The sequence below is a fragment of the Homo sapiens genome, chromosome 5 (genome assembly GCF_000001405.40).
Source record: "Homo sapiens chromosome 5, GRCh38.p14 Primary Assembly".
NCBI lineage: Eukaryota > Metazoa > Chordata > Mammalia > Primates > Hominidae > Homo > Homo sapiens.
The window spans coordinates 139,272,899-139,293,684 of NC_000005.10; the positions used below are offsets into that span (position 1 = coordinate 139,272,899).

At 44.5% G+C, this 20,786-nt stretch overlaps 1 protein-coding gene, 2 long non-coding RNA genes and 2 other non-coding genes across 40 annotated transcripts in view, besides 2 other annotated features; 4 read left to right on the forward strand and 1 right to left on the reverse strand.

The window, feature by feature from the left end:
* Positions 169-20,659, reverse strand: LOC124901081 (uncharacterized). 4 transcript variants are annotated; one of them, XR_007058956.1, is made up of 4 exons: positions 20,376-20,659; positions 12,350-12,412; positions 7,670-7,787; positions 169-756 (listed from the first exon to the last, which is right to left on the reverse strand). It is a non-coding gene; the product is annotated as an uncharacterized LOC124901081 (long non-coding RNA). The 4 variants fall into 4 exon arrangements; XR_007058958.1 differs by lacking the exon at positions 169-756 and adding an exon at positions 5,756-5,846 and having other exon boundaries at positions 20,525-20,659; XR_007058957.1 differs by lacking the exon at positions 169-756 and adding an exon at positions 5,756-5,846 and having other exon boundaries at positions 20,376-20,514.
* Positions 557-906: an enhancer, noted in NCBI's record as "active region_23218". NCBI's record gives its function as "activates an Ori minimal core promoter by ATAC-STARR-seq in GM12878 lymphoblastoid cells {active_cell/tissue: GM12878}" and the evidence as "EXISTENCE:reporter gene assay evidence [ECO:0000049][PMID:35858748]".
* Positions 1,197-1,276: a silencer, noted in NCBI's record as "silent region_16407". NCBI's record gives its function as "represses an Ori minimal core promoter by ATAC-STARR-seq in GM12878 lymphoblastoid cells {active_cell/tissue: GM12878}" and the evidence as "EXISTENCE:reporter gene assay evidence [ECO:0000049][PMID:35858748]".
* Positions 1,203-12,002, forward strand: SNHG4 (small nucleolar RNA host gene 4). Of its 11 annotated transcripts, none has more exons than NR_182757.1 (7): positions 1,203-1,263; positions 1,466-1,716; positions 3,223-3,252; positions 5,429-5,510; positions 6,153-6,231; positions 7,037-7,160; positions 9,841-12,002. It is a non-coding gene; the product is annotated as a small nucleolar RNA host gene 4 (long non-coding RNA). The 11 variants fall into 11 exon arrangements; NR_182752.1 differs by having other exon boundaries at positions 1,466-1,531; NR_182755.1 differs by lacking the exon at positions 1,466-1,716 and adding an exon at positions 5,667-5,842.
* Positions 1,203-20,786, forward strand: part of MATR3 (matrin 3) — a 57,577-nt gene continuing 37,993 nt past the window's right edge. For 5 of the 23 annotated variants that reach the window (NM_001400442.1, NM_199189.3, NM_001400460.1 and 2 more), the window contains exons 1-4: positions 1,203-1,263; positions 3,223-3,252; positions 5,429-5,510; positions 6,153-6,231. Coding sequence is in view for 2 of the 23 variants with exons in the window: in NM_001400459.1 (NP_001387388.1) it covers positions 7,110-7,160 (51 nt within the window). In the remaining 21 variants the exon portion in view is untranslated. Of the gene's footprint in view, positions 1,268-1,465; positions 1,532-3,222; positions 3,253-5,428; positions 5,511-6,152; positions 6,232-7,036; positions 7,161-17,569; positions 19,177-20,554; positions 20,678-20,786 lie in introns of those variants that run through there. The other 18 variants (NM_001400444.1, NM_001400448.1, NM_001400463.1 and 15 more) reach the window with 12 other exon arrangements.
* Positions 3,282-3,425, forward strand: SNORA74D (small nucleolar RNA, H/ACA box 74D). The gene has a single exon (NR_145749.2). It is a non-coding gene; the product is annotated as a small nucleolar RNA, H/ACA box 74D (small nucleolar RNA).
* SNORA74A (small nucleolar RNA, H/ACA box 74A) lies at positions 5,882-6,081 on the forward strand. Its single transcript, NR_002915.1, has one exon. It is a non-coding gene; the product is annotated as a small nucleolar RNA, H/ACA box 74A (small nucleolar RNA).

The following is a 20,786-nucleotide window of genomic DNA, read 5'->3' on the forward strand; positions in this document are numbered from 1 at the left end:
GCCTACCAGCCCAGCACTGGTCATGTGACTTTTTAAATTACTGTATTTATGTAAGCCTTTTCCCAACCAGAGCCTATGTCCAACTGCATCAAAACTGGGGAGGATTTGAGCTTGCCACTTCCCCTCCAGTGGCTCTTTGGCCCTACAGCCTAGGGTCTCTTGCTGGAATCAAACTGGGGCTCTGGGCTTTCTTAGGAGAGGTCTGCAAGAGTTGGGGTGCACAAGAAGCATACCTTTTTCATTATGAAAGAGCTGAGGAAATAGACAATGAAACATGTTGGCAGATGCCAAGGGCAGTGGCTTGGTTCCCAGGGGTTCACCTGGCAATGGTGCCAGGTGCAAGAGATCAGCAAAACTTACAGGATTGGTTGTTGTTGTTGGGGGGCGGGTGTCGGAAAGGAATTTGGGGGAATTAGAGAATGGAGTTGGGAATCACTGCTTGTAGGCCTTCCACTCTGGACCCCAGCAGAATCATATGGACTCTAGCCACTGGGAGAGGGAAGTTTTAGTGTTCCAAAGAAATCCTGGTAGCCTTGCAGGCAGTCTGTCCTGACCAAGGACTCTGCCTGACTGTGCCATGGTGCAGGGCAAGTCTAGCAGAGAAAGCCAGTGTTCTTCAGTTACTGCAGCTCGGCGAAGAATCCCACTGCAGGGCACTAGGGAGGCCGGTCCTGCAGAGGTCAGCAGTAGGAGTGACTGGCTTAATCTATTCGAAAACCTCCTGGAAAGATCCCGAAGACCGTGGACCAAGGTGACCTGCGTGGGTGAGCGATCCATTAGCCGAATGACAGCGCTGCCGCAGAAAGCCAGAAAAAGGATATGCGTGGGAAGCGCAAAAGCGTGGGCTGGGCCTGCAGCAACGGAAAGGCGCCACGCTCGTGAGCGGAACCAGCGTTCCGGGGGCGCTCAGTGTGGGCAGGCAGGAAGCCTGGCTCCACTAGGACACACAGATTCTCTCCTGAGCAGCTGCGAACTATGCGCCCCTTCTACCCTTAAGAGATGGGATGGGAGTCCAACAAACCCAGCCATTGCTCAGACCCCAGCCCTTCTCTCCTCTAAGAAGCAGGTTCACCTCTGCCACCGCACTCGCATTTTTTTTTTTTTTTAAAGCCCGGCCTTTCCTAGGCGGGGTCAAGGGCCCCGCCCACCGAAGCCACGCCCAGTAGCCGCCCCGGGGCGGGGTTCCCCTCGGCTCCCGGCTGCCCTTTCCCCTCCGGCCTCTGCCGGTGCTGCTGCGCCCTGCGGAGCTCCGAACACGTGCGCGTGAGTAAGGACCCAGAGGGGAGAGTCCTTGGAGGTTTCCCAGCCTGGGGAAAGAAGCAGTGCAGGGTGGCTTCTGCCGGGGCACGGGACGAAATTGGGGTTCGTCCCCTCGTGATCCCGAGCTTGGAGGGCATCTGAAAGAGACTTGGGCCTCGGAGTCGTCCCCTGTTTTTCTACCATCCCTCTTCCCTCTTCTCCCTAGGGAGTCCCATAGAGCCTGACTCCGAGAGCCTCGATCTCCCAGGGCCAGAGGCAGGGACTTTGGAAGGTTTGTGAGGAACAAATGTCCGGTGGAACTGAGTCAGCCCCTTTAACCCGAGCCTTGAAAGGGGCAGGCTATTTTTAGATCTGTTTTTAGACCCAGCGAACAATGAACCCTCTCTACTCATTTTCCTGTTCCTCTAAATTATTTGGAGGAAGTCAGGAGTGAAATTTGGGGATGGCTGGAAAAAGGTATGATCTTAGCCTTACATAAATTATAATGGTGACTGTGAGGCCGGGCGCGTGGCTCACGCCTGTAATCTCAGCACTTTGGGAGGCCGAGGCGGGCGGATGACGAGGTCAAGAGAAGAAGACCATCCTGGCCAACATGGTGAAACCCCGTCTCTACTAAAAATACAAAACTTAGCTGGGCGTGGTGTCGCACGCCTGAAGTCGGGAGGCTGAGGCAGGAGAATCGCTTGAACCCGGGAGGCAGAGATTGCAGTGAGCCGAGATAGCACCACTGCATTCCAACCTGGTAACAGAGCAAGACTCCGTCTAAAAAAAAATGGTGACTGTGTAGGAATATTTATTATCATTTGTGCAAACATTTTGGTTATTTTTATTTTTTTTAACGGAGTCTTGCTCTGTTGCCCAGGCTGGAGTGCAGTAGGGCGATCTCGGCTCACTGCAACCTCCGCCTCCTGGGTTCATGCCATTCTCCTGCCTCAGCATCCCGAGTAACAGGGACTACAGGTGCCCGCCACCACGCCCGGCTAATTTTTTTTTTTTTTTTTTTTTTTTTTTTGTATTTTTAGTAGAGACGGGGTTTCACCGTGTTAGCCAGTATGGTCTCGATCTCCTGAACTCGTGATCCGCCAGCCTCAGCCTCCCAAAGTGCTGGGATTACAGGCGTGAGCCACCGCGCCCGGCCTAACATTTTCGTTATTGCTTTTAATCAGTAGTTGAGGTCTTGGCACGACTACTGCCTCCAATTCCCCTCACATCCAATACTGCAGTTATTTTTCCAAGTGCTGTTTTTATTGTCCTTCAGGAAGTATTGGAGGCCCTCCTCTATCCAGTGTTCCCACTGTTCACTGCCCGTTTCTCTCACTGGATAACTTTTCCCTTTTTACTCACTCATATTCACCATCTAAGCCTTTTTTGGAATGTAGCTCCTCAGGTGTTTACTGAGTGCCCACACTATACCAGACATTATCCTGAGGATTAGCTTATATTTCACTTAAGCCTCCCAACCACCCTATTTACAGAGGACTATTAGTAATATCCCCATTCAGCTTGGTGTGCTCGCTCACGCCTGTAGTCCCAGCTACTCAGGAGGCTGAGGTAGGAGAATCACTTGAGCCCAGGAAGTGGAGGCTGCAGTGAGCCATGATTGTGCCACTGCACTCCAGCCTGGGTGGCAGAGAAAGACCCTGTAATATAATACCTCCATTCTACAAATGAGACTGAGGTATAGAGAGGTTTCTCGCCCAGTATCATTTGGCTAGACACTGGTTAGGGGATAGAGCCAGGCTCCCTGATATTTGTTTAATCGACTCTTTTGCTACTATTGAACTGCTGTGGTGTATAAGTAACAAGAGATGAAAACAAAGCTAAACAAGGATAAGCTATTGGTTTTATTGTCTGCTATTGTTTCTGTGGCTTAGGCCTAAGTTACCGTGTTTTGAGGGGAGGGACTCTGAGCTGCACACGTGTTCACTGTTGGCTGACTAACCTGGAGTTGTTTCATTGCAGAGAGGCTGGCTGTGGCAGATGCAACTGCAGGTGAGTGCAACCCCTTCAGCTCTCTTGGCTCCAGCTGTAGGCAGCTGCCTAGGTTGTCTTGTACCTAGGCAAGTGTTACACTGCTGGGAGAACAGCAGCCAATAGCTGGTTGGCATTCTGGCCCTGGTTCATGCCAACTCTTGTGTTGACTACCCCAGGATGCCAGCATAGTTGCTTATCCATTAAGGCAGGCGTGTTTTTTGGCTTCCCTGGGCCACATTGGAAGGATAAGAATTGTCTTGGGCCATACATAAAATATAGTAACACTAACGATAACTGATAGCTAAATTTAAAAAAAAATTGCCAAAAATAACTCCTCATAATGTGTTAAGAAAGTTTACCAATTTGTGTTGGGCTGCGGGTTGGAAAAGCTTGCATTAAGGTTTAATCTGTGAGAGCATGACTTTTTGCAGAGAATAAGTCCAGACCTTCCTGAATAGTTCTGGTCCAACAGGTTTGGGTAGCATGAAGTTACTTGAATCATACCTTGGAAACAGAACAAAGCTAATGGGAAGAGGGGGTTGGTAAAAATAGACGGAAAAGTCACACCTTTATTTTTAGTGCCTACCAAGGGCTCAAAGGGGGCCAGATACAATGGGATTTTTGCTAATTTCACTGAAATTAAAGTCCATGGCTCCTACTACCCACCATAAAAGCTAGTCATGACACCCTTTGTAGAGGGATGGATTCCCTATTAGGGAAACATTGATGGTAATTCACTTTAAAATTATGGGCATTCTCTAGCTGTTTAATAAAATATTAAAATATTGATTGAGGGGGCTCTGGGAACTGAACAACTACAACCACACTAATTTCTCCTTTGGGCTGACAGTATATTTGCTTTAGTTGCTTACTGATTTTCAGAAATGAACAGTTGTTGCCCCATTAAAGTGGTAGATATTGAGTTCCCTTTGTAGTAATTTTGTTTTGGAATGCTTTTTCCCAAGTAGTTGGGATGATAGGTGTGTGCCACCACAACCAGATAATTTTTTTTTTTTTAATTTGTAGAGACAAAGTCTCATTATGTTGCCCAGGCTTTAGTAGAGACAAGGTTTCACGACGTTGTCCAGGCTGGTCTCGAACTCCTGGGCTCAAGTGATCTCCTGCCTCTCAAAGTGCTGGGGTTACAGGCATGAGCCACTGCACCGTGCCTGGCCTGGAATGCTAATCTTTTGAGAAGAGATGACCCTCGGTTGCTGTGAAAAGTGACATACTAGTTTCCACAGGAGGAAATGGGGAGGATGTTGGGGGGCAGGGGAGTTGTTTATCAAAGCTTGTTTTGTTAGATCAGTTGGCATTCCCTTAATAGGATTCTCTCAACTAAATGTGAGTGCTTTGTGTGAATGCCTCAACTGTGAATAGCCTTTTACATATGGGGTCTTAAGGCTAGTGATATCTGTAGGGCTTGGGGGATGGTTAGCTTTATAGTACTATAGGCAGGGAAAAGGCAAATAATGGTAAATAAAATAATTCCTGAGGCTATAGAAATTGGGGTAAATGGCAAGCAGCATTCTATTTCCATCTCTCCAGATAAGGGTCCTTAGGAGCTGCTATTTTAGACCAGGGTGCCAAACATTCAAATTCATGGGAAATATATCATGTCTGCTCGTCTTTTTTTTTTTTTTTTTTTAATTGACAGTAATTGTATATGTTATATGGGGTACAACATGAGGTTTTCATACATGTTTACATTGTGGAATGAGTAAATCATGCTAGTTAACACATCTAGCACCTCACATACTTATATTTTGTTGTGGTGAAAACATTTAGTATCTTTTAGCAATTTTGAAATATACAGGCCAGGCACGGTGGCTCGCACCTGTATTCCCAGCACTTTGGGAGGCTGAGGTGGGAGGATCATTTGAACCCAGGAGTTTGAGACAAGCCTGGGCAACAGAAAGAGATCTCATCTCTATAAAAAACAAAAAAGAAATTAGGTGGGTGTGTTGGCATGCACCTGTAGTCCCAGCTGCTTGGGAGGCTAAGCTGGGAGGATCACTTGACCCAGGAGATTGAGACTACAGTGAACCATGGTCATGCCACTGCACTCAGTCTAGACAGAGTGAGACCCTATCTCAAAAAATATATATATATATATACACACACACACACAATGCATTGCTATTTATTATATTCTGTGTACTAGATCACTAAGTTTGCTTGTCTTCCTTTTTAGGATGACTTGAAAGTAGGGCATCCTTCACCCATCTGAAGGGAGGAAATAGTGGCAGGTGACAGTCTGCATGTGCAGTTTTCAGGTAAATATCCCTATTCATTCCAACATTGACTACCTCCTCTGTGCCAGGCCTGTGGGCTAGTTGGTATCTATCAGGAAACAAATGGGAGGTAAATTAACCTGTATTTGTAAGATCCATGAAGGAAAGGACAATATATCTTGTTTTATTCACTGCTAGATCCCAATCGCAGTGCTTGGCACATGGCAGGACCTCCCTGAATGTTGCATAAAACAACTGAAAACACAGAAGGGGATTCCTGTTAAAGGGTTTGACAACAGGGTCTGCAATTAGTGCTTCCACGCCTGTTTTGCAGTCAATATTCAACTGATACGTCTTCTACCTGGAGTGCCTAGGTATCTGAAACAAATAATGAGAAAGCTGTTTCAGGAATCATCCAGCGGTTGTCAGCTATCCAGGCTCATGTGGTGCCTGTGATGGTGTTACACTGTTGGAAGAGCAAACACTGTCTTTATTGAGGTTTGGCTCCAAGCACTGTTTTGGTGTTGTAGCTGAGTACCTTTGGGCAGTGTTTTGCACCTCTGAGAGTGGAATGACTCCTGTGGAGTTGATCCTAGTCTGGGTGCAAACAATTTTTTTCTGTTTGCAGAAAAAGACAGGTTGTCTTAGGGACAGCCTGTCATTCTTTACCTCTTTGAATCCTAGATGCCTTCACCTGAATGACATCTACCTCCATCAGGACCCCAGATGTCTGACAGCCCTGTGTGACACCAAGATAAGTAACGTATGTAGTCTTCTTGTCATGTAGGTCCCAATTAAATTACTATAGCTCAGATGGGGGTAGGGGACTTAAAATTATGATGTGAAAAATTATGTAGAGTATCAGACTTTTTTTTGGGGGGGGACGGAGTCTTGCTCAGTTGCCCAGGCTAGAGTACAGTGGCTCGATCTCGGCTCACTGCAACCTCTGCCTCCTGGGTTCAAGCGATTCTCCTGCCTCAGCCTCCCGAGTAGCTGGGACTACAGGCACCTGCCACCATGCCAGGCTAATTTTTTTATTTTAAGTAGAGACGAGGTTTCACCATATTGGCCAGGCTGGTCTGAAACTCCTGACCTTGCGATTTGCCTGCCTTGGCCTCCCAAAATGCTGGGATTACAGGTTTTTTTGTTTGTTTTTTGAGACGGAGTCTCACTGTCTCCCAGGCTGGAGTGCAATGGCGCAATCTCGGCTCACTACAACCTCTACCTCCTGGGTTCAAGCGATTCTCCTGCCTCGGCCTCCTGAGTAGCTGGGATTATAGGCGTGCACTACCACGCCCAGCTAATTTTTGTATTTTTAGTAGAGATGGGGTTTCACCATGTTGGTCAGGCTGGTCTCGAACTCCTGACCTCGTGATCCACCTGCCTTGGCCTCCTAAAGTGATGGGAGTACAGGCATGAGCCACCGCGCCCAGCCAAGTATCAGAATTTTAGAGAATTCTTAGGATCTAAAGTCCATCCCTCACTTTTCTGGAGCTCTGCTGTGCAGTAGGTATATGCTACATGTGGCTGTGTAAGTTGATAAAAATTAATCAATTTCTTAATCTCAGAATCTGGCTGCTGACTACCCTATTGGACAACTCCAATATTAGAGAACATTTCCACCAATTCAGAAAGTTTATTATGCACTGCTGTTCTAGAGCAGGGATCAGCAAACTTGCTGTAAAGAGCCAGGTAATATAATATTATGCTTGTTCAGCCATGTGGTTTTTGCAACTATTTTTGCAGCTCTAGTGCAAACACAGCCTTAGACAATATCAACACATGAGCAAGTCTATAGTTCTAATAGAACATTATTTATGGACACTGAATTAGAATTTCATAAAATTTTCAGTGTCAAAATTGTTTTCAATGATTTACAAATTTAAAGACCATTCTTATTTTGAGAGCCATACAAAAACAGCAGGCTGGAATTGGCCCATAGGCTATGGTTTGCCAACCTCTGTCCTGGAGAATGAAATTCAGGCCTTGAAAGTTGAACAGCTCATTAGTGACAGGTTCAGAGCCAATAGCAATGTGTCTTTCTGAAAAGTTTAATGTTATCAATAGCTTTGCCTTAGAGCATCATACTCTTCATCTTTTAGGGCACTAAGGTGACTGCAAGAAATTAACCAGTAGTAAAAATAGTCTGTTTTTTGTGTGTTTGGGATTTGTTTATGTGTTTTTTTGCATGGGTTACTTACAGCAGTTCTCTCCACTTTTAATGTGCTCCAAAGGGAGAGGTCTTAAGAAAGAATAGCAGTCTGCACTTATCAAACTCAGCCACAATCTCAGTCTGAGTTGGTAAAACCGAAATGGCTCCTAAGGAAAGAGGAAAATTTTATGTCATGAATAGTCACAGTACTTTAAATCTGAGGCCTCAAGTTCTAAGCATACAGGTTGTCTTCCTGACTACAGTAGCGCTATCCATGTGCAGAGACGTTCCTATATTGCTACTTGAAAATAGATAATTCATTGGTATTCCTGTATTCAATATCCCAAAAGGCATCAATGGTGTAATCATGTGCATTTAAATAATTTGATGGGATTTCCTACTTGATAAATAAAGTTACTCACCTACTTATCCCTGTCGATTTTTTTTTTTTTAAGCAAAGAAATATATTTCCTGGTGAGTCTAAGAAGATTAGTTTTTAAAATCTTTTTTGATAGAGGGTCTCAACTGTGTCACCCAGCCTGGTGTGCAGTGGCACAAGCACAGCTCACTGCACCCTTGACCTCCTGGGCCAAGCAAACCTCCTGCCTCAGCCTCCCATGTAGCTGGGACTATAGGCATGTGCTGCCATGCCTGGCTTCAAAGTAGTTATTTGTTTTTTTTAGAGACAAGGTCTCACTCAGGCTGGTGTGCAGTGGTGTGGTCACAGCTCACTGCAGTCTCAACTTTCTGGGCTCACGTGGTCCTCCTGACTCAGCCTCCTGAGTAGCTAGGATTACAGATGTCACTCTGCCTGGCCTCGAAGTAGTTTTTTTTTTTGTTTTTTTTTTTTTTTTTGCTCTGTTGCCCAGGCTGGAGTGCAGTGGCACGATCTCAGCTCACTGCAACCTCCACCTCCTGGGTTCAAGCAATTCTCTTGCCTCAGCCACCCAAGTAGCTGGGACTATAGTCACACGCCACCACACCTGGCTAAATTTTTTTTTGTATTTTTAGTAGAGATGGGGTTTTGCCATGCCATTTCAGCCAGGCTGGTCTCAAACTCCTTACCTCAGGTGATCCACCCGCCTCAGCCTCCCAAAGTGCTGGATTACAGGTGTGAGCTACCACACCCAGCCGAAGTAGTTTTTTTCTGTTAATCTTTTCCCATGCTGCAATGAAAACTTGAATGAGACTGGCAGGGTTACTGGTCTGTAAATACCCAGGCTGCCAGCTGCCATAGGTAGCAGTAAACACAAGTGCCTCTTTTCATTGCTTAGGCCAAGTTTCAGGTCTTAGGCCTGTACCATATTAAGAGGAAAAACTAAAAATAAGGAGGGTTTCCAAACACCCCCACCAACCTTGAATTTTTTAAAAAATGAGGGAACCACAATTAATAAACACTATTCCTGGCACCTGTCCATGATTTCACTTGCTGGGTTGAAACAAACTAGTGTCAGTGGGATTTTATGTTGAAATTTTGGATCATGCCTCACTCAAATTTAAACCAGAAAAGCAAAACCCAGAGGGATAAATTCTGCAAGTCCCAAAGGGACACAAAGAGGTGGCTAAGTGCCTAGGAATTCACACAAAGGAAAACACCGTGCTAAGAGCAACTAATTAAGAACTTAAAAAGAGTGACAATGACTCCTGTGAATGTTGTTGCTTAATTAGGGCTTTATGAACACAGCTCCAGTTAATGGACCTGTCAATATACTCTTGAAAAACAATTTCACTGAATTAACAAATTAACTGTAATAACTTAAAATCTCTGCTTAGCAACATCTTTCTCCTTAATGCTATTTAGGAACACTTGTAATGAGCCAACTTGATGAGTCATAAATTTGTCAGTTTAGTAGCCTAAGGCTTGTTCAGAGGAGACCCTGTTACTTGTTTGGTCTTCCTTGCCCTCCAGTAAAGGCCCTTTAGGATGTAAGAATGTTCTGTGCTGCTTCTTAAGGGTGATATACTCATTGGGAAAGTACAGTAAAAAGGACTTTAAAATTTATTTTATTTTACAATACTTTTAGATTTATAGAAAAGTTGGGAAGATGGTACAAAGAGTTCCCATATATACCATACCCAGTTTCCCCTAATAACATCTTACATTGGTATATTATGGTTGTCACAATTAAATGGGCTAATATTGATACATTAGTATTAACTAAAGTCCATACTTTGTTCAGATTTCATTAGTTTTTATGTAATGTCTTTTGTCTGTTCTAGGATCCCGTTGAAGATACCACATTACACTTAGGCTCCTGTTGGCCATGACAGCTTCTTAGACTTGTTTTTAATGACCTTGACAGTTTTGTTTTTTTGTTTGTTTGTTTTTGAGACGGAGTCTCTGTCATCCAGGCTGGAGTGCAATGTAATGGCTCAATCTCAGCTCACTGCAACCTCTGCCTCCCGGGTTCAAGTGATTCTCCTGCCTCAGCCTCCCCAGTAGCTGGGATTACAGGCATGAGCCACCGTGCCCGGCTGCCTCCTAAATTCTCAAAACATTCCATTTTTATTCTGTGGTCTTACTTTATTCTGTCATGTAGAGAATAGTGGTTGAGCCTGTTGTCTTTTGAGAGTGGATGCTGTAGTCCTTACATGGCTGACTTTCAGCCCGTAAGCTTATAGTAGAGGATGGGGATTTTGTTATCAGCTGCTAAAAGGGAGAAGCCAAGCCCAGAACTAAGGGTTCTGATGAGTTGAAGGAGAGGGAAGATGCCCCTCAAGGCAAAGAGCCTCTGAGTTAGAATCTGTGCTTCACCAGAGTGACAATGGTAGAACTTCTCCTTCTCAGTATTAATTCTCCTGGAGAGAACTCTAGGGTTGTCTAAACCTGTTCAACTAGGCTGACTACCCCAGCAAGTGATGGGTTGGACATAAGGCAAAGAACAGGAGGGGTGAAAGGGGGCAGAACAGACAAGTTCTGTCCCAGCCTCTGCTACCTCTAACCCCATGGCATTCTATCCTTTTCTACACTGGGCTTCCATTTCTTACCCCAACAATGATCTGTTCTTCCAGGTGCCGTCATTTAATTTCCCAGACACTTGACCTCCTTCTGATTTGTGTACTCCCTCCAAGGCTGAGTTGCAGTGAGTGACAATAATCTGTGCTAATTACTTATCTTGCCAGAAGACTCAAAGGGTTTATGGCTTTTACTAACTGAACTCTATGCTAGATGTTAGGGATAAATGGTTAACAGGACACAGTTCTTGCTTATCTTGCTATGGTCTGTCAAGCCTTATACAATCTAGCCTTATCTCTCTCACCGTCTTATCTTTATCACCCGTAGATTCCCTTGTTGGCCACTGGTTTCTTTCAGTCCTTAATTAGCCTTTTGTCACTACCTGTCTACACATGCTGTTTTTCCCTTCTCATTCCATCTTGACATTGTCTATTTTGAGATCTCAGCTCAGTTGCAGAGAAGCTGCCTTCCCCATCTGGCAACCCATTATATGTGTCATAGTACCATGTTGTACCATAGAGCTAGACACAGGTGCCATGTTGTGTCTTGAAATGTATTCACCAGCTTCCAAAGGTTTACCTCAATCCCCTTTACTCAAGAAGCCTCAGTTCTACTGACAGTTGGTAATAATAACCTCTCTGTCATAATGTACCCAAAATAGAGTAAGAATATCATGCTTTTCAGTAATACTCCAGTGAATGAGGCTAAGAGTACCATTTTTGTTCTTATAAAAGAATTTTTTTGGACATGAATACAAAGATGTCAGGTTACCAAATCATTTGCTAGTAGATCCTAACAATATCACCTATAGGAAACTGAACGTAGCCTTTAAACATTAAGTGATGATAATGGATTTGGCCGGGCGCGGTTGCCTATAATCCCAACACTGAGAGGCTGAGGTGGGTGGATCACTTGAGGCCAGGACAGGACCAGCATGGCCAACATGGTGAAACCCCGTCTCTACAAAAGAAAAAAATACAAAAATTAGCTGGGTGTTGTGGTGTATGCCTGTAATCCCAACTATTTGGGTGGCTGAGGCACGAGAATCGCTTGAACTTGGAAGGCAGAGGTTGCAGTGAGCTGAGATCGTGCCACTGCACTCCAGCCTGGGTGACAGACTGAGACAGTCTCAAAAAAAAAAAAAGAAAATAATGGATTTGCAGAGACTTGCTATTTAGATTTCAGACATCTGTTAACTAAAACACATGTGTAGGCTTTTGTTACTTATTTCAGTAATCTGTAAATATCTTTATATTTGAGAAAATTTGTGAGACATCTTTGTGTAAATTATAACTTGAAGAACCTCTCTTACAAGCAGGCATATTGGTAAGTAGCTGCGAGGATATAACTTATAACCAGATTGAAGTGTATAATTATAATATGTTATTATTCTGGGGTTCTATAAAAAATAAAATCTTTGAATCTATGATTTTTTGTCATTAGGGTATACTTTGGGACATGTGGCGCCATAGAATATCAACACTATTTACTACATGTTGACCATGTTAAATACATTTAACACATCTCTTTTTTCAACAGCCCTACAAGGTACATGTTACTTGCCCAAAGTCACAGTCACACGAGAACTTGTGTGGTGCTGAATGAATCTGGCTCCAAAAGTACTGTTTGGTTTAGGAGCTTTCATGTATAGTGCCCTCAAGTCTTGTAAATTTCTGCTTCTTCAATCATCAACCTCGTTCAATCTAACATCTTGAAGGAACTACTCAAATGTCTTACTTACAGATTCTTACAACTATTTCAAATGCCAAATACCTTGTTTCAGATGGTCAACATCTTGGCTACTCTTGCTGTAGTGTGCAGTGGGTTCTGTTTGTCCTAACAGAACAAAACATAGTCTTTTAGATTTTTAAAAAATATTCCTCTGGAAAGCCTTAATGAATGCCACATTCTAATCCCTAGTCTTGCCCCATGATATGATTTATCACTTTTTATTAAAATTCCTCAATGCTTGCCCTGTTGTGTCTTGAAGAAACTGTGGGCCAGAATAAGAATTTCAAGACATTTTTAAAATTTTTATTTGAGACAGAATCTCGCTCTACTGGTGGCACAGGCCTCTACTCCCAGTTACTTGGGAGGCTGAGGCAGGAGAATTATTTGAACCTGGGAGGTGGAGGTTGCAATGAGCCAAGATTGCACCATTGCACTCCAGCCTGGTCAATAAGAGTGAAACTCCGTCTCAAAAAAAAGAATTAAATGAGATCAGGAAAACAAGACATGAACAATATGAAGTTCAACAAACAGAAATCATTAAAAAGAACCAAATTCTGGAGCTAGAGAACACAATGACTAAATTGGAAAATTCCACAGACGTTTCAACAACAGACTCAAAAAAAGAATCAATGAACTTGAGACAGATCACTTGAAATTAGTCAGAGGAAAAAAAAATGAAAAAGTGAAGCCTATGGGACACCATCAGGTGAACCCATATACGCACTTTGGGTATTTCAGAAAGAGCAGAATAAAGGGCAGAAAGTTTACTTAAAGGAAACTTCCCCAATCTAGAGAGACAAATGAATATCCAGATCCAAGAACCCCAAATATATTAAAGATATCTTGACCAGGACACATTATAATTAAACTCTCAAAAGACAGAGTTTTGAAATTCATATATAACCTTTTCAAAAACTCCTTTGTAAGACCTGACCCCATCCTCTTGCCACTGCTAGAAGAGCAGCTACTGGTTAAGTTTTCTGTTTTTAAGTAGCCTTAAAAAATGACCTGGTTCCAGGGCATTAAAACTGTCCCAGTAGATTTCTGAGGTGTCAACTCTGCTGCAGACAGCATAACATTCAAAGGCTCTGCATTTGTCTCTAGCTGCAAGATCATAGGCAATCTTCTTTTTAAAAGCTATTTATTTATTATAAAATAGAAATGGGGTCTCACTGTGTTGATCAGGCTGGTCTCGAACTGCCCTCAAGTAATCCTCCCACCTCGGCCTCCCAAAGTGCTATGATTACAGGTGTGAGCCACTGTGCCTGGACTTTTTAATTTTATTATTTATTTCTGTAGACCTCCTCTGTGGACAAGCTTCTTGATATCTTATGTGAAATAGGAATAATGGTACGTTGGCCAGGCACAGTGGCTCACACCTGTAATCCCAGCACTTTGGGAGGCTGAGGCGGGCAAATCGCTTGAGGTCAGGAGTACAAGACCAGCCTAGCCAACTTGGTGAAATCCCATCTTTACTAAAAATACAAAAATTAGCCAAGCTGGTGGCACGGGCCTGTAATCCCAGTTACTTGGGAGGCTGAGGCAGGAGAATTGCTTGAACCTGGGAGGCGGAGGTTGCAGTGAGCCAAGATCATGCCACTATACTCCAGCCCGGGCAAGAGAGCCAGACTCCGTCTCAAAAAAAAAAAAAAGGAATAATGGTAATTAAAATGTGTTATCAACTGCTTAGTAGAGCATGTAAATAGTGGTCTATTCTGCTAGACTCCTGAGCTCCATGAGAGCAGAGACCTTTTATTTTGTTTTATTTTGTTTACTATTATGTACTGGCAAGTGCCTAGTATACAATAGTAATAAATAGTCTCTCAAATATTAGTTGGCTGCTGAATATCAAATGGTTGACCTCAAAGGTGTGAATTCCATAATTCCATTTTGTCGTCTTTTAGGACTTTTACCTTTGTCAAGCTTAATTTTCTCATCAAAAGAAATTTCAAGAAAAATGTCATTGATGACAGGACTCCTCATATTCACATAATATATTTTAATGGATTTTGTGGTGTCAAAGTATATGTCCCCAATCTTTTCTTGCTTTTTCCTCTACTCAAAATTGGAAAAGGTCCTCATTATAATCTCAAATCCATACTCTATTCTGGCATTGAAAGTTTCATTACAGGGCTGGGAGAGGAGGCTCACGCCTGTAATCCTACCACTTTGGGAGGCCAAGGCGGGTGGATCACCTGAGGTCAGGAGTTCGAGACCAGCCTGGCCAATGTGGCGAAACCCCATCTCTACTAAAAGTACAAAAATTAGCTGGACATGTTGGCGCGCACCTGTAATCCCAGCTACTCAGAAGGCTGAGGCAGGAGAATCGCCTGAACCCGGTGGGCGGAGGTTGCCGTGAGCCAAGATTGCGCCATTGCACACTAGCCTGGGCAACGAGCAAAACTCCGTCTCTAAAAAAAAAAAAGTTTCATCATTAAGCTGTACCAAACTTGTCACTTAGACCTTTCAAAGTCTCACCAGCAATTCTTGCTTTGAAAGGCCCCATTCTTTACCATTCCTGATGCACACCCACTCCCACACCCAAATGTGAATACAGCTTTTTACCCATGCCTGCTCACAAACAGGCCCACTTTGAGGTCAAACTCCTTGTCAATCTCCATCAAACCAAGATCCTAAGGGCTGGAAGTTTGTCTTTTCCATCATTGTAGAATGTCCTTCATGAAATAGGCATTTGATGAATGAAATCTTGCATTAATTTTGGTGGCCGGGCATGGTGGCTCACACCTCTAATCCCAGTACTTTGGGAGGCCAAGGCAGCCAGATCACATAAGCCCAGGAGTTCGACACCAGCCTAGGCAACATAATGAAACCCCGTCTCTACAAAAAATACCAAAAAAAAATTAGCTGGGTTTGGCGGCGCGCTTCTGTAGTCCCAGGTACTCGGAGGCTGAGGTGAAGGAACACTTGAGCCCAGGAAATCAAGGCTACAGTGAGCCAAGATGGCACTAGTGCACTCCAGCCTGGGAAACACGAGACCCTGTCTCAAAAAACAAACAAACCAACAAACAAAAACCAAACTTTTTTTCCTTTGTGTCTTTTTGCTGATAAGCCCCTAAGCACCTGTTATATTTCTTTTGAATCTCCCACATCATCACTAAGTTCCTCAATAAATAATTACTTCGTTGAAAAAGTTTGACTTTCTCTGCACGATCACCAGATGGCATTAGAACCTTATGCAAACATGGGTAGGTGTGTATCTGAACTGAGATTTGATAGGCAGTCATGTTTCTGTCTGCCAAAGGACCAGAGGCTGTTGTTTCATCTAATAGTTGAGAACAAGATCAGTTGGAATCAGACTTGCAGAGTAGAAAGCAGATCAGCTTTTGAGTGGAAGACTCAAGAGTCACTGAAAAGTAAGATTCCCTCCAAAAAAATTTTGTCTTTCCAAAGCTAGCTACATGGTGGGTTTAAACATCATCTCTTTTTTTTTTTGAGACGGAGTCTCACTCTGTCGCCCAGGCTGGAGTGCAGTGGCACAATCTCAGCTCACTGCAAGCTCCGCCTCCTGGGTTCACGCCATTCTCCTGCCTCAACCTCCCGAGTAGCTGGGACTACAGGTGCCTGCCACCACGCCCAGCTAATTTTTTTTGTATTTTTAGTAGAGACAGGGTTTCACCATGTCAGAAAGGATGGTCTCGATCTGACCTCATGATCCACCCGCCTCAACCTCCCAAAGTGCTGGGATTACAGGCATGAGCCACCACGCCCGGCCACACCCAGCTAATTTTTGGATTTTTAGTAGAGACATGGTTTCATCATGTTGGCCAGGTTGGTCTTGAACTCCTGACCTTGTGATTTGCCCGTCTCAGCCTCCCAAAGTGCTAGGATTACAGGCGTGAGCCACCACACCCGGCCAACATCATGAGGGAAGCCCCAGCCCTTGATGAATCCTACCAAATTCCTTTTCCAAGCCTGTCAAATGATTGGCCTCAAAGATGTGAATCACATTTTGTAAGCTTTGCTCAAACCTTTGAAAAACAGAAAATAACATACAGATGTAAGATTGCAGTTCCACTTTCACAATGGCTATTTAAACATTTTCCTTGCCTGGGCGTGGTGGCACACCCCTGTAAGTCCCAGTACTTGGGAGGCTGAGGAAGGAGGATAGCTTATAGCCCAGGAATTAGAGGCTACAGTGAGCCACAATCAAGCTACTGCACTCCATCCTGGATGAGAGAGCAAGACCCCATCTCTAAATATATACCCTGTCTCTAAATTTATAAATATGATAAAAAATACATAAATATATAAATTTCCTTCTTGCAGCTCCAGCTCTCAACAGAAGACTTTCTCACAGAGTAAATTGATATTAGCTGACTATAATGTCCATGTCTTCCTTCTACCAATCTAATGAAATTTCAGCACTGTCTGCTCCATACCTCCTGTTACTGTAAAGGAAATTATCTTTCTTCCCTATCCTTTCAGGAACCTCTATTATGGATTATCCCATCTCCTTGTCTTTCCAACAATTCCTTCGTTAAGATATCCTTACTGCCAATTCGTTGTGCTGAAGTCCCTCACGTAGTAAAACAAAAAACCCTTAATCCTGCTTTCTCTCCTCTAGTCTCTTCATAGCCAAAATTTTCTGCATTGAGTACTTTTTGTCTTCCTTCTTCCCATATTCAGCCTTTCCAGTCTATTTCACGCTTCAGTGGAAGCAACTCTCAATGTTACCTGATATCCATGTTGCTAAATCTTGTAGATGTCATTGGTCTTCATCTTGACCTCTTGGTAGCATTTGACCCTGTTGATCACTTTGTCCTTGAAGTATTTTGTTGTTGTTTTCAAGGCAACACAATTTCTGTGCTTTCCTTCCTCTGCCTTCCCTTCATATATACATATATTTGCTTTTCTCCCCCTACCCCTGTCCACTAAGTTTCCTTTGCTATACTTGATTAAAGTTCCTCAAGGATTGGCGCTCAGGCCTCTTTTTTCACTGCATCCACTTAAGGTTCTTTTTTTTTTTTGAGACAGAGTCTTGCTCTGTTGATCAGGCTGGAGTGCAGTGGTGTGATCATGGCTCACTGCAACCTCAGCCTCCCAAGTAGCTGGGATTACAGGCGAGCGCCACCACACCCAGCTAATTTTTTATATTTTTGGTAGAGATGGGGTTTCACTATGTTGGCCAGGCTGGTCTCGAACTCCTGACCTCAAACGATCTGCCTCCCAAAATTCTGTGATTACAGGCATGAGCCACTGCGCCTGGCCGCTCTTTTTTTTTTTTTTTTTTTTTTTTTTTTAACAGGGTCCTGCTCTGTTGCCTAGCTGGAGTGCAGTGCCACCCCCTCCCAGGCTCAGTCGATCCTTCCACATCAGCCACCCCTGACCCTGTCTACCCCTGCCCCGGAGTAGCTGGGACTACAGGTGCGTATGCCACCACGCCTGGGTAATTTTTGTATTTTTTGTAGAGACATGGTTTCACCATGTTGCCTATGATGGTCTTGAACTTTCTGGCCTCAAGCGATCGGCCCACTTTAGCCTTCCAAAGTGCTGGGATTACAGGTGTGAACCACTGTGTCTGGCTTTAAGTTTATTTTTCAACTCCTGTTACTTCGTTTACGGCATTAACTTGTAAATTTGTCACTAACCCACAATCTTTCCCTGGGCTCAAGACCCATATATACCACTCCTTACCTTAAAATTCATGTGTCCCCAACTGAACTTGCGTTGGATAGTATTAAATAGGACTTGTATTACCCAGTTTATCTTAGATTCTGCATTTGAATTTGTAACCCCAGGGAAATGGCCCTTTCCTACATCTCCAGCCCTTTTTAATGTCTATGCACAGGAGGCTGAGGCGGAAGGATTGCTTAAACCCGGGACGCAGAGGTTGCAGTGAGCCATGGTCACACCACTGCACTCCAGCCTGAGCAACAGAGCAAGACCCTGTCTCCAAAAATAAACAACACACCAAAAATTCTGCAGTTTCCCAAAGTCTACCTCAGAGTTTTCACACATTCTGATCCCTCTGCCTGGGGATGCTTTATTCCCTTCACCTAGTTAATTGCCTACTCGTCAGATATTAGCTCAAACCTCAGTTTCTCAGGAAAGCTCCTCATTCCCTCAGATTATTCACTCGTCTCAAATACATATTTATTGGTTTAATGTCTGCATAAAGTGTAAGCTCCATGAGGGCAGTGCCTTTGTCTCCTTTCCTGCTCTTTGGCTGAGGCCTAATATATTGACACAGTAGGTACTCAAGAAATATTTCTTGTATCACTGACTAAATTAGATTGAGATAAAGTAATATTGTGAATCAGTGGCTTACTACTTATTTTGTAGATAAAACAATTTACCCTGTCTTGAGATGGTAACTTCATTTTTTTTTGAAACGGAGTTTTGCTTTTGTTGCCCAGGCTGGCGTGCAATGGCGCGACCTTGGCTTCACCGCAACCTCCGCCTCCCGGGTTCAAGCGATTCTCCTGCCTCAGCCTCTCGAGTAGCTGGGATTACTGGTATGCACCACCATGCCCGGTTAATTTTTGTATTTCGAGTAGAGACGGGGTTTCTCCATGTTGGTCAGGCTAGTCTCGAACTCCCGACCTCAAGTGATCCACCTGCCTCGGGTTTCCAAAGTGCTGGGATTACAGGCATGAGTCACCGCGCCTGGCCAAGTAACTTCATTTTTATGGCTATGCCATTTCAGGTAGTGCTTCGTTGAGGCATCAAGACTCCACTGACCAGCTTTTTCACTTTATTGAATTACATAACCTTTTTTTTTTTTTTTTTTTTTTTTTTGAGACAATGTCTGACTCTGTAGCCCAGGCTGGAGTGTGCAGTGGTGCACTAGGCTCACGGCAACCTCCGCCTCCGGCTCAAACGATCCTCAGCCCCGTCCTCCGTACCAGGTGAGTAGCTGGGACCACAGGCGTACACCACCACGCCCAGCTAACTTTGTGTTATTATTATTATTTTAGTAGAGACGGTGTTTCGCCACGATGCCCAGGCTGGTCTGGAACTCTTGAACTCAAGTGATCCACCCGCCAAGGCCTCCAAAAGTGGTGGGATTACAGGCGAGATCTACCGTGCCTCAAATCACATAACCTTTTAATGTCTCAGTTTTGTGATCTACCAAATGGTATCCCACAGTAGCCGCCTCTCAAGGTTATTGTAGGGTTATGTGTAAACTGCTTATTGCATTGCCCACCTTATAGAAAGCACTCCATATTATAATCATTAACTGTGCTGGAAAATTCCCAACTCTCCAGATGCGGAGTTCTGCAAGGATGGTTGGGGAGAGAGTTGCAGCCAGATTAGGTCTCCAAACAATTTACTTAAGCCTCTGAAGGCCGGAGCTCAAATCCCTCCAACCCGGGTACCTAACCAGTACCTCAGTCCCAAGAGTGTATTGCATTCAGTCAAATTCACCAAAAGGCGGCGGTGGTCTTTAGGAAGGAAAAGGCTCGCGGTCCTCCGCCTCAACGACCCTCCTGCACAGAATTCCTGATTTTAAAAACCAGCTGGCCACTTTGGGAGGCCGAGGCGGGCGGATCACAAGGTCAGGAGATCGAGAGCATCCTGGCTAACACGGTGAAACCCCCGCCTCTATTAAAAATGCAAAAAGAAATTAGCCAGGCGTCGTGGCGGGCGCCTGTAGTCCCAGCTACTCCGGAGGCTGAGGCAGGAGAATGGCGTGAACCCGGGAGGCGGAGTTTGCAGTGAGCCGAGATCGCGCCACTGCACTCCAGCCTGGGTGACAGAGTGAGACTCCGTCTCAAAACAAAAAACAAAACAAAAAAAACAGCTGGCTGGGCGTGTAGGCTCACGCCCTTAATCCAATGCTGAGAGGCGGAGGCGGGAGCACTGCTTGAGCCAAGGAGTTCCAGACCAGCCTAGGCAAAATAACGAGACACCATCTCTACGGAAAAAATAAAAATAAAAAAGTTAGCTGGCCATGGTGGTGCGAGCCTGTAGTCCCAGCTACTGGGGAGGCTGAGGTGGGAGGATCCCTTGAGGATAGGAGTTCGAGGCTGCAATGAGCCATGATAACGCCAGCGCACTCCAACCTGAGCAACACAGTTTATTTATGATAAATAAATAAACATACCTAAATAAAAACCAGCCAAAATGGTATCGTTTTCCCTTTGTGGCCCCAATATCTGGCGCTTTCCACCATTCCTTGGCAAACAGAACAACCAGAGAGCATAAAAGTCGAGTCTAAGCCAGGGACTCTCGCGAATCCCTTCTAAGGCATACCCTATTTAAACTTTGTATTATGCTATTCAGGAGGTTGACAAACAGCCTTTTCGGGAATGGGACTCGAACTCGTAAGCCACGTCTGTTCCTCCATTTCCCGCCTCAGCTGGATGACGGAGAGGGATCTCCGGGATTAAAGAACAACGACCGCAGGCGAGTGCACGAGCGAGGTGCGCGCGCTGAGTAGGGGGAGGGGCCTGGCGCGCGCCGAACCAGATCGAGGGGGTGGGGGCGAGCTCTCTCGCGAGAGTGGGTTTGTTCT